Below are 13,337 nucleotides of genomic sequence, written 5' to 3' on the forward strand. Positions count from 1 at the left end.
TTTAATTGTTGAAATAAATTCAACAATAATTCAACAATAATTTTTGGGTTACAGATTTGGTTTGAAAACTGAATAAGAACGAGATGTTGGGAAGTAATTCCAAAGTTTCCAGGTGAGACATCTCATTGTTCTTTCTGCTTTGTATTTTAGATGATTGTTTGCAAGTTTCCCTGATCTCTGTAAAGGGAGAGCTAGAGTTTTAGTTATCTTGGAAGGTGGTGGATGAGGTCAAAATTTAAAAGGACTCCGATGAGAACTTGCGGATGGTGAAGGTACAATCAGAGATGAAATGTGAGAAGAAATTTAGTAGTATCTTTTATTTGACAGGGTATATATGTTTGTCTTGGTCATTTTGATTTGTAGTCAAAATGTGGTAAGTATGTCAAGTAGAGATTTGGAGACTACTTTATCTGCTCATTTGAAACTGGAAGGAAAGGTTTTAGTAAGTGACTAAAAAGACATATAATGTTGGTATTTATTGAAATATTGTGAATTATCTTACACAGTTTTCTTTGATCACCACAAAGTAACCAAGGGTGGGGAGAGAAGAAAGCGTTTAGACTGTTGCAGAGCCGGGGATTGAAATATAGGGAAAATAATACAAGACTTAAAAGTTAAAATAAGCTCAGAAAGATTAGTAGGCATGATTTCAGGCTATAGAAGCAACAGGGGAAGAAAACAGAGGCTTTTATTACATTAAGAGAATAGAGGAGATTTGCAGGCAAGTTCTTGGTGAAGAACAGTCCAGTTGGAGTAATGCATAATCATAGATCATGGTCCAAGAGCATAATTCCTGGGTTTACAAATCTAGTTTTAAACATTATTATTTTCATAAATCTACATAGAAGACTATCAAAAATGTCAACACACACAGGCACACACACTCACACACACAAATCTTATAAAAGAAATTTGGAAAACAGATCATTCATTACAAAGAATGAGGAGAAAAAATAATGGAAAGTAATTTACTATTTGGTCTTAATAAATGCCATCTTCTCCTGAATTTTTCTCTTCCTACATAGTTTCAATAGCAATAAGTATGTTTCATCTGGCCTTCCAGGTTTCTCAGTGAACACCCCCCACAAAAAAAATTATTTAAGTCCAATCCTGCAACTGTATTTTCTCAAATGGTGATGGAATAAAAGAGAGGGATGGGGAAGAGTAAAATTCATCATAGACACATTTGCTGAAAAAGTCTGGCAGATGAACAAAACATGATTTTTTGAGAGGCTCTGTAATGGATAGTTCTTTTTTCTCACTTATGTACTTATGTGAAACTAGGAAAGATAGTAAAGTGCAAAAAAAAAATCTACCAACTAAAAAAAATTACAAAATCTTAGCAGCTTTGCCTGTAGCGACTTATAGTTAAGTTATCCAAATGCTCTTAAAGCTGCCTTTTTATTTTCTTTCATTTTGACACTATAATATACTGTTTCATTTTCAAAATCAGAATGTGAATCGGATAGATGCAGTAAATTGATAAATTCTACATCTGTGATTTTCTCTTCAGTAGTAGAAATAATGTCATATCTTAAGGTCAAAGATTATTAACCAGAAATCATTAAAACTACTGAGTTTCAAATAGTTTTCTTATCTTCTAGAGGAAGAGGCCAAGAAGCATATTTAAATTTTTAACATTTTTTCCACACATTAGTTGGGCTACATTTTTATTTTTAAAGCAAAATTAAACAAATATGTCCACTTTAGGGAGATTCTATAAACCATTCAATTCAGTTTAGGTTAACAAGAAACTGAAATCCATAATAAAATATGTTGTTGAATTGTCATTTTACTTACTAATTTCTTCATAGCTTCTTACATATTTTGAATACATTCCTCACATTATTTTGGAAAGGAAAATACAGTTGTTTTCTTTTTTTTTTTAAGAGGCTTTTTGATGCTAACAAATAAGCTTATCCTTCTGGTATACATGAGATGGCATATTGAAGACACTTTTTCTTAATAACATCTACTGGTAATCATTTAGAAATTGTGGAATCTCTATTGAGGCATATAATAAGCTACCACTGAAACGGAAAGATTGCTAGATTATCTCATCGACAGAGTTCACTCTTTTAGTGCTGTTCCCCCAAATAGCTATCCACAATTTACTTTTAGGGCTATATGCCCTAAACTATTTATGTGATTGCCAAGTACAAATTGTTCTGATATTCATACTGTGTTGTAGGGCACATTGCTCTGTTAAAAAGAGGTTTCCTAAGGAATCTGTTTGTTTTATTGGAATTCTGGTGTTTGTAATGTTTCTTTTAATGAGATGATGAATTTATGGTTGAGGCTGTGACAAGAGTTCAGTCTTTTCGTTAGAATAAAGATTGCCGGCCAGGCGCGGTGGCTCACGCCTGTAATCCCAGCACGCTGGGAGGCCGATGCGGGTGGATCACGAGATCAGGAGATGGAGACCATCCTGGCCAACAAGGTGAAACCCCGTCTCTACTAAAAAAAATACAAGAAAATTAGCCGGGCGTGGTGATGGGCGACTGTAGTCCCAGCTGCTCGGGAGGCTGAGGCAGGGGAATGGCGTGAACCCGGGAGGCAGAGCTTGCAGTGAGCCGAGATCACGCCACAGCACTCCAGCCTAGGCAACAGAGTGAGACTGCGTCTCAAAAAACAAACAAACAAACAAAATTGCTTCTCCAGAGCTGACAAAATCCTTCAGTGTCACTGAAGCTCTTTGTCTGGCTGTAGATACTCAGAATAAAGCTTTGAGACAGTGGAAATGACTTGCTCTTTGGCAAGTCTCTTCACATTTCTGCCTCTACCCTATGGGGCAAGTCTTATACAGCAGCTTCAGAACAGGAACCTGACTGTCCAATCTAGATTGTTAATCTTATTTTCCAAACCAAAATAGAAACCAAGAAATGGAGCATATAGCAAGCTAATTATAATCTAATCAGCTTTTGAAATTTCAGTCAAAAAATAACACAAAGATTTCCCCTTAACAGAATGGAAATATTGAGGTGCAGTTTATGTATCAGAAAAATGAAGGCAATTATGAGACAAGAAGGCTCTCAGAATTTTCACAAGAAAAAATGTTGAGAAAATGTTGAAGTGGGAGAAGGTTTGCACTTTTTTTGTATTTTTTTTAACAGAGATGAAATATAATACTGGCTTGTTAGAGATCATCTGAATCTGGGGGCATATGGAAGCAAGTATTGTAAATGCCATTCTGAAACAGGTAGTCTTCAACCATAAGGAGTAGTTTGGTTAATATCTGGGAAATACTACTCATTTAGTCTTTCCCTTATACATAAGTCACAAAGCACGAAAAGAAAGACTTGGAATGATAAAAAGCATGGCATATTTAGCAAAGCAGATACGTAGACTTCAAGAGGTATAGATTTAAAAAGAGTAAAGTTGAATGAACTAGTCATTTTAGCTTGTTATTAAAATAAGAAACTGAACAAATGGCTGGATTTCTGAAAATGCTAAATTCGAATCCTGATTTGATAAAATACTTGAGTTTTTTAACTTAAGGAAATCATTTAAATCTTAATCTGTAAATGAAGAAAAAAAAGAACTGCTCTCACTATATAAGGATTTTGTGGAGAAATATGCAAGAACAACATGCCACACAAATGCTAAATAATAGCAACAAGGGTGGTAATACTGCCAAATGAAACTTCTTTTTTGTCAATTAGTTTAATGTCAAGATTGAATCATTTCAAACGTTCACATAACAGGACTTTACTAATCACTATGAAGCACGGCCCAGGCCAGGGAAATCCATATGTCTTTTCAGTTCCCAGATCGGCAGTGCACAGATTTTTGAAATTGCTTTTTACTAATGTCCGTAAGTAGATGAACAACACTAGACAAATAATGCTCTCAGAGTTTTATGTTTTCACGGTTTTTTTCTTCCTCACTTTTTATTTCTGTGCTCCCTGTCATACCAAGGAGTATAACCTGCTGCTTAAAATGGTGTTTAATAGCATATAGTAACTCTCAACTGAAATTCATGGAAAGTAGTATGCACAGAGGAACATTTCAGAATATTTAGTTTTTTTTTTTTCTCTTCTTAAGAATTTGGACACATGAGTCCTTTTACTTTTGAATTTATCTAAGTGATGCTTCCTGCCTCATGTTTAAACACCTTTTTTTTTCTTTTTAGTCTCACGTGAATGCTGAGAGAAAATCTATTATTGTTTCTAACTTGGTAGAGAAAATGTAACATAATAACTAGTGTCTGACCATGTATGAGAGGCTCATTTTTATCTTCTTAAGAATAAAAACCAGGAGTGTGCTAATAGATAAGGTAAATAGCTCATCATTTTGTTTCTGAGAATTGTTTAGGAAAGGTTTAGATTCTTTGGGAGAAGTCTGCCAGAATAAAAATAAGAGAGGGTGCGCTTTAGATGAAATAGTCTGTAATTTAAACCTGACATCTCTGTGTAAAAATTCTGTGATTTTAACCAAGTTCAGTTTCCTCATCCACAAAGCTAGTGATAATAATATATATTTCGGTTAGTAAACTAGTGTGAATGCACCTAATAGCAGATGGAGCAACAAAATAGCAGGGAAGGCCAAAAATGGTTAAATATCAGCAAATTTAAATGATTTCTAATATATAAGAAAGGCTCAAATTGTATTAGGTAAAATCCAAAATGCTTTCTTCTTTCTTTGTCTTTTGTTTTCTTCTTAAATTTATTTGCACATACAAGCATACTTCAGATATATTGCGAGTCCAGTTCTAGACTACAGCTATAAAGTAAATATCACAATAACGTGTCATGAATATTTTGGTTTCCCAGTGCATTCAAAAGTTATATTTATACTATACTATAGCTCTTTGGGCATGCAATGCCATTATACCTAAAAAATATGCGCCTTAATTAAAAACATCTTATTGCTAAAAAAACTCTAACAATCATGTGAGCCTTCAGCAAGTTGTAATGGCTTTGCTGGTGAAGGGTCTTGCCTCAATGTGGATTCAGCTGCTGACTGATCAGGGTGGTGGTTGCTGAAGGTTGAAATGTCCGCGGCAATTTGTTAAAATAAGACAACAATGAAGTTTGCTGCATTGATTGACCCTTCACTAAAGATTTCTCTGCAGTATGTGATGCTGTTAGATAACATTTCACTCACAGTAGAACTTTTTTGTAAACTAGAGTCAATCCTTTCAATCCCTGCTGCTATTTTATCAACTCAGTTTATGTAATATTCTAAATCCTTTGTTGTCATTTCAACAATGTTTGCAGCATATTCACCAGTAGTAGATTCTATCTGAAGAAACCACTTTCTCTGCTAATCCATAAGAAGCAACTCTTCATCCTTTGAAGTTTATCATGAGATTGCAGCAATTCAGTCATATCTTTAGGCTCCAGTTCTAATTCTAGTCCTCTTGCCATTTCTATAACATCTGCAATTACTTCCTCCACTTAAGCCTTGAGCCCCTCAAAGTCATCCATGAGGGTTGAAATCAACTTCTTCCAAACTCCTGTTCCTGTTGATATTTTGACCTCTTCCCAATGGCATCTGGAAGGGTGAATTCTTTTCTAGAAGATTTCCGATTTACTTTGCCAAACTTCATCAGAGGAATTACTCTCTATGGCAGCCCATGAACCAAGGAGTTGTTTCAACTTTCAAATCTTATTATTTAAGACATGCATATTATAAGACTACAACTGCCATAGAGAGTATGTGAGTAATGTGACTCTCTAAATCAAAAGCTAGAGATGATTACACTTAGTGAGGAAGACATGTCAAAAATTGCTGTTATGTTAGCAGGCATAAAAATAACATTAATATCCTTGTATATCTTTATCAGAGCTTTTGGAAAACCCAGTCCATTGTTAATAATCAATTATATTTTGGAAAGAATCTTTTTTTTCTGAGGAGTAGAACTTAAACTATTAAGTAAGCCATGCCTCAAACACATATGCTGTCATCCAGACTCATTTTTCCATTTATATAGCACAGGCAGAGTATATTTAGCATAATTCTTAAGGGCCCTAGGATATTTAGAATGGGAAATGAGCTTTGGCTTCAACTTAAAGTGACCAGCTGCATTAGCCACTAAGAAGAGAGTCAGCCTGTCCTTTGAAGCTTTGAAACCAGGCAACTTTTCCTCTCTAGTTATGAATGTCCTAGATGGCATCTTCTTCCAATAGGAGACTGTTGTGTCTTCATTGAAAATCTGTTGTTTAGTAGAGCCAATTTCATTAGTGATCTTACCTAGATCTTCTGGATAACTTGCTGCAGCTTCTACATCAGCATTCGTTGCTTTACACTATACTTTTATGTTATGGAGATGGCTTCTTTCCCTATACATCATAAACCAACCTTGGCTAGCTTCCAACTTTTCTTCTGCAACTTCCTCACCTCTCTCGCCTTCACAGAATTGAAGTAAGTTAGAGTCTTTTTCTGGAATAGGCTTTGGCTTAAGGGAATGTTGTAGCCAGTTTGATCGTCAACCTTGATCACTAAAACGTTCTCTATGTCAGCAATAAGGTATTTCCTTTTCTTATCATTGATTTGTTCACTGGAGTAGCACTTTTCATTTCCTTCAAGAGTGTTTCCTTTGCATTCACATCTTGGCTGTTTTATCCAAGAGGCCTAGCTTTTGGCCTTTCTCAGCTTTTGACATGTCTTCCTCACTAAGCTTAATCATCTCTAGGTTTTGATTTAGAGAGTCACATTACTCTTTTTCACTTCCACACTTAGAAACTTAGATGCCACACTTCCACACTTAATAATAACCTTAGTTATTAATAACCTTACTTAATAACTATAAGGTTATTAATTGACCTAATTTCAATATTATTGTTTCTCAGGAAATAGGAAGGACCATAGAGAGAGAGAACGAGAGAGAGAGAGAGAGAGAAAGAGAAACAGGGAATTGTGGGTCCATGGATCATTCAGAACATGAGCAACATTTATAGAGTACATTGACTGTCTTATGTGGATGTAGTATGTAGCGCCCCCAAACAATTACAATAGTAACATTAAAGATCACTGATCACAGATCACATAAAAGATATATTAATAATAATAAAGTTTAAAATATTGCAAGAATTATTAAAATGTGACACAGAGACATGAAGACAGCACATGCTGTTGGAATCACAGTACTGATGGACTTGCTCGACACAGGGATGCCACAAGCCTTCAATTTGTAAAAATCACAATATCTGCAAAGCACAATAAAGCAAAGCACAATAAAATGAGGTATGTCTGTAAATATATTCTTTCAAAAACTCTTCATCTTTCCATAAATTATAATTATCTGATCAAAGTACATCTCATTGGATATACATATAATCATAAAAATATGATTAAAGAAGAAAGTAGGCTTAGAGTTTGTCCCTTGTCCAAATTCACTTAAATGTATCCACAGATAATCATGCTGGCTAATATTTTCTAATAATCTGCAGAGTTTTTTCTCCTTTTGTTATGTTTGGAAATATGAGTGTTAGATAGCATGACTGTGTGTTCAGACTGCCAAATGCCAATAGGAGCAGACTGCACAGCAAGAGAATTGCGTTTGTTTGACAATGTGTTATACACTATTGATAATGATTTTGAAATTAAAGTTGATACTCTTGCCTTTTGCTCAGTGATATGAAGTTTTAAAATTGTCTTTAATTTCAATTAAAGAGCAATGGTTAGTGCTGTTGTTTATGTTCATCCCTCCTGTCAGTGTATGTGTGTAATTATAACATGTAAGGTTTTAGTCTCCCAAATGTTTTTGAATTTTATCCAGGACAACATATTTCTTAAGGTATTTGCATTTGTTCAGTGGAGACTGAATGATGCTGCTTGTTTTCTTGATTAAATAGTGTTTGCTCACAGTCTCCTATTTCTCTGTTCTTAATTACTAACTCAGGCCCACTCGTCATCATAGCCAGTGATAGAGTTCAGCATGAACCCATAGGACTTGGGGGTTTTATTTCTAGGATCTCTCAAAGATTGTTAAGTAACTTAAATTCTTAATGCTCATGTTAAGCGTTATAGGGAATTTGCGGGAAAAAAGAGCTGGGATTCTTACTTTCTACCAATATGCAAATTGTTTAGCAGTTTGCAAATGTCAGATTCTAGGAGTGAATGATTTTCATTTTCATCACAAGAGCTTTGCTAGCTAATACATGAAGATAATTGTACTTGTTTCATACTTGAAACCAATACCTCCGATCATGGAAAAGGCTATAGAGAAGCATATGAAGAAAGATTATTAAATCAAATGTGTGTTCATTGTTGCATGCATTTGTCAACTCTCAGGACAAAAGCAGGACAGCTCATTTTGATTAGCAGAAATTGCCAGATTTCAGTGAGAAACAAAGTGATTCAAAGGGAGAATTTTTACATTAGGTGGTTCTCCATGAATCACCCCAGAGATAGTTGCTGGGACGCTGATAGTAATTCTAGGTTGTCATCTCAGGTTTTTGAGAATTAATCCACACAGTCTACAGTGTTTTTATGAATCATCATAGACATATTCAGGAGTTCTCTAATATCCCCTCATAGGAATCTGTTAGGAGAATCCTGGCATTATTAGGTGGCTAATAGTTAAGAATTACTAAGGATCTGGCAAGGAGAATAGGGCTTCACTATTCAAGTTTTGCTTCTGTCCTCTTGAGACGTGAAGGGAGCTGGACTTCCTGGGTTGAGTGGGGACTTGGAGAACTTTTCTGTCTAGCTAAAGGATTGTAAACACACCAATCAGCACTCTGTAAAAACGCACCAATCAGCACTCTGTGTCTAGCTAAAGGATTGCAAATGCACCAATCAGCACTCTGTAAAAATGCAGCGATCAGCACTCTGTGTCTAGCTAAAGGATTGTAAACACACCAATCAGCACTCTGTAAAAACGCACCAATCAGCACTCTGTGTCTGGATAAAGGATTTTAAACGCACCAATCAGCACTCTGTAAAATGGACCAATCAGCAGGATGTGGACGGGGCCAAATGAGCTAGCAGCCGCAATCTGCTGTGGAAGCTTTGTTCTTTCGCTCTTCACAATAAATCTTGCTGCTGCTCACTCTTTGGGTCCACACTACCTTTATGAGCTGTAACACTCACCACAAGGGTCTGTAGCTTCATTGCTGAAGTCAGCAAGACCACAAACCCACCAGGAGGAACAAAGAACTCTGGACGTGCCACCTTTAAGAGCTGTAACACTCACTGCGAAGGTCTGTGGCTTCACTCCTGAAGTCAGCGACACCATGAACCCACCAAAAGGAAGAAACTCTGGAAACATCTGAAGGAACAAACTCCGGACACGCCATCTTTAAGAGCAGTAACATTTACCGTGAAGGTCCGCGGCTTCATTCTTGAAGTCAGCAAGACCAAGAACCCATCGAAAGAAACCAATTCCGGATGCACTATTAAAAAAGACAACTTAAAATACATATACTTCACAGAGGTATTTAGCTTAGGAAAAAGTGTGTACCCAGTAATTGAGAAAATTGAGAGCTTACTAACTGAATAGCCATTTTCCTTTTACCAAAGTTGCAACTTTGTAGCTAGAGAGGCACTAGGTATGGTTTTTACCAATCAGATATGGGCAGAAGTGCATTAAGAGGCTTCTACTTTTGTTTCATTGTCACAAAAGCAAAGCCACGGGAGACAAAACCCTTTCCCAGCTTCTTTTTCTGTGAACATAGCAGTCATAGATCCCAGAATTGGAACCCATTGCATAACTCTGAGAACAACCCCTTCTGATAACAATGAAGTAGGAAGGTTTTAGTAGAAGGAGTCTATGTTCTTAGTGGCATTGTCTGGCCACCATGCCGTCCCTGGACTGCCGTTCTTGGGAATGCTGCTTGTTAAATGCAAACAAACCCCTTTCTTGTTTAAGCTATTATTGATCATGTTTTTAATTTCCGGTAGCTGAAAATATTCCTGCTGAAACAGCCTGCACCATTCCATTCTCTACACTAGCGGTTCTCAGATTAGAGAGTGAATGAGATCGCATGAAGGACTTGCTAAAACATGGATTGCTGTGTCAAAGGTGAGTGGGATGGTTAATATTAGGTGTCAACTTGATTGAAGGATGCCTAAATGCCTGGTAAAGTATTGTTTCTAGGTGCTTCTATGAGGGTGTTGCCAGAGGAGATTGACATTGGAGTCGGTGGACTGAGAGAGGGAGACCCACCCTCAATGTGGGTGGGTACCACCCAATCAACTGCTACTGTGGCTAGAACAAAGCAGGCAGAAGAAGGTGGCATAACTTTGCTTGCTGAGTCTCTTTTTTCCCCATGCTGGATGCTTCCTTCCACTTCTTCTGCCCTTGAATATCAATCACACTCCAGGTTCTTTGGTCTTTGGACTCTGGGACTTGCACCAGCAGCCTACTGGTAGCTCTAGGGACCCTCCGCCACAGACAGAAGGCTGCACTGTCTGCTTCCATGGTTTTGAGGCCTTCGGAGTTGGACTGGGCCACTACCAGCTTCTCTCTTCCCCAGCTTGCAGACAGCCTATCATGGGACTTCACCTTGTAATTGTGTGAGCCAGTTCCCCCTAATAAACTCCCTCTCATACGTACATATATCCTATTGGTTCTGTGCCTCTGAACAGCCATGACTAATACAGGAGGTCTGTGGCACCTGAGAATTCTCTCTTCTGACAAGTTTCCAATTGATGCTGATGCTGATGATGCAGGGACCACACTTTGAGAACCACAGCTCTGCAGAATAATTCTCCGAAACATAAATATTAATATAACACTCATCCAATTAAAATACATTAGTACTGTCCCAGACCCTTCAAAACAAACACCAGTCTCCTTAGAATAGCGTCTATATCTGCTTCTCTCATATATATATATTTTTTGTGGGCTCTATTTTCCCAACATCTTCAACTGATATATTTCTCTGATAATATTCTATTCTCTGTGGCAACTTTCTAACACATTTTTCCCTCTGCTTAAAATATACTCCTCTATTATTTTTTAGACGCTTCTCATTAATCCTTCAAGACTCAGTCTTTCTTTGACAAAGTCACTGGGCTCAGTACCCTATATTGTGAAACAAATATTTATTTATTTTTTGGTTTTGTCCATGCAATTTACTTGGGATAGGCTCTACAGAATTCGGGCATTCATCTCCATCTCCCCCGTGCCTAGCACAGGTTTTGAAACACAGTAAGAAGCCTTGCTAAATGAACGACTGAGTAGTTGTCGAAGCACCAGTGATGCTATGTATTTCTAATAACAGTTTTTTATACTCCAAGGCTGAAATAGAAACTCCATCTTTCTTTATAGCCCTGTTTATTGTTTATAATATCCATGTTAATAATTTATTACAATCATTTTTATTCCAGTTTAAAAAATAATTTTGTGGATGACCTTTTGGACATAATCCTTTGTAAGGGACAAAGTCCTTATTTATCTCATTTTTTTGGATGTAACAGAAATTGAAACCAGAAAATTCTCACAGAACAGATGCCCTTGCAATTGAAAAGCACTCCCTCTAATAATGCTTGGCATAATTTTTGTTAGGTTTGTATCTCTGGTATAATTACATGATGATTTTAATGGAAATTATAAAGAAGTATTTTACAAAGGAATAGAATATTTTATGTGTAGTTATATGTAAATTAAGTCTTATAAATATGCAAGCTTGCTTTCTCACATGGGTATTTGCTTAAGGATCACTCTGATAAATGCAAACAAGACTCATATTATTTATTAGAAGATTGCTGAGATATATAACAGTAATTGTCATACCACTCTGTAGAATTCACTTCCAGAATCTGCTGTTGTTCCTATTGACTGATAATGTGCAGTAAAAACTGCCACATTTATAAATTCAACTAAGATATTAAAATATCTAAGTTTTTATTTTCTTCAGATGCATAAACCATCTATTATGTGCATGTTGTTATTTTACCAAGACAATCTGGCTTCCAAATGAGGCAAAACTCTGGTTTATACAGTATGATTTTTGAGGGTATCATTCATGTCAGTGTCAATCTAATAATATTAATAAATAAATAAGAGAAGAAGCCACTTTTCACCTTTGGAAACTTGTATTATATGATACAATATAGCAGAAGAGGAATAAGGTTCTACAACTGGTTATGCTTTCCCAAGATTAAGTTTGAGGTACAAATAACAATAGTGTCCATTTTATAAGATACACAAGATGATTCTTTCCTCTTATAAGCTAAATAGCTGTACTTTCATAATAAAATGTTTTTAAAAGCTTCAGTTCAGTTTACTTCAATTAATGTAACAGCCACTTGTTGAGAGTCTTCTATGTCATTAACGCTGCTTAGCTATTCTGAGGAACACGTTTTTAATTCTTCAAGAGATATTCTTGTTTTCTAGGTGAAACTCAGAAAAGAACATTACAGGTCTTCTGAGTGATTCTGAGATATTGTCATGAACGCTTTCTTTAAATGATTTAAATTCTGAGAAAAGGTCAGAAAATTGTAGGAGATTAGGTAGATCTGAAGACATATGAATTATGTATTGTTGAATTATCTAGAATAGGCACACTGGCTCCCTTATTTCTGTTTTATGGCATAATATACTTTTGGAATAATCAGATGACATATTAAACCTTGAAGGAGAGGAAATTTTGAATGTCTTGGTGGAAGAGTTGGCATAATTTTTTTCATGGGAGATAAGTTGAAAGATACTTAGAGTCCTCTCCAGAGTAATGCCAATGTAGGCAGTTCTTTCATACCTGCCTTGGGCTAAGTGTTTTCTCGGGCAAGTAGTCACCATGTAGAGTTAGGAAACAATTTAGGGACTTTGTTCTGGGAGGACTCAAGGCTTGGATACATCTACAAATCTTTCTCAATTATCAGGCAAATGAAACTGTTTTACTCACTGATACTAAACTTGTGAGTTGCTTTTGTATGACTTATTTATTTCACTGCAATTATTTTAAACCTGATTTGTGTATTTATAGTAGCAAAAATGGCACCAACACTTTGTGCTAGGCTAGTGGGTTGTATGGATATCCTCCCTACCCTGATTGGGCTCTGACATGTCACTGTGGTTTGCACCCTGTAGGGTCGCCACCTTACCCTACTTCATCTAGATGCCCTATACTGATCAGCCCCCAACTCTTCACCCTTCAGCCCTACCTAATGGCTTTTGGACTTCGCTTTTTAGGAAGGGAAAGAAAAGGAATAACAAGAGGGAAGAAAGGAAAACAAAGAAAGGGAAACAAGTTATTAATTATTAATTGTTCTACATATTAAAATTATTTATAATAGGTATTCAGAATAATTTTTAAAATTGGTCCTTTGAGGACAAGTCTTCTGCAGAAATGCATGCTTCAACCTGTTCCACTATTACAGTTTTAAAATACAAACAAAACAATCAGCAGAGTTGGAATACAGTACTAAAACAATATTGCCTTTCA

At 36.2% G+C, this 13,337-nt stretch overlaps 1 long non-coding RNA gene across 1 annotated transcript in view; it reads left to right on the forward strand.

The window, feature by feature from the left end:
- LOC107984685 (uncharacterized) overlaps nt 1–9,961 on the forward strand; it is a 216,619-nt gene extending 206,658 nt beyond the window's left edge. Inside the window, exon 9 of the long non-coding RNA XR_001750697.1 lies at nt 9,850–9,961. This is a non-coding gene — a long non-coding RNA (uncharacterized LOC107984685). The remainder of the gene's footprint in view (nt 1–9,849) is intronic.
- The last annotated feature ends 3,376 nt before the right edge of the window (nt 9,962–13,337 follow it).

The sequence above is a fragment of the Homo sapiens genome, chromosome 14 (assembly GCF_000001405.40).
Source record: "Homo sapiens chromosome 14, GRCh38.p14 Primary Assembly".
Classification (NCBI taxonomy): domain Eukaryota; kingdom Metazoa; phylum Chordata; class Mammalia; order Primates; family Hominidae; genus Homo; species Homo sapiens.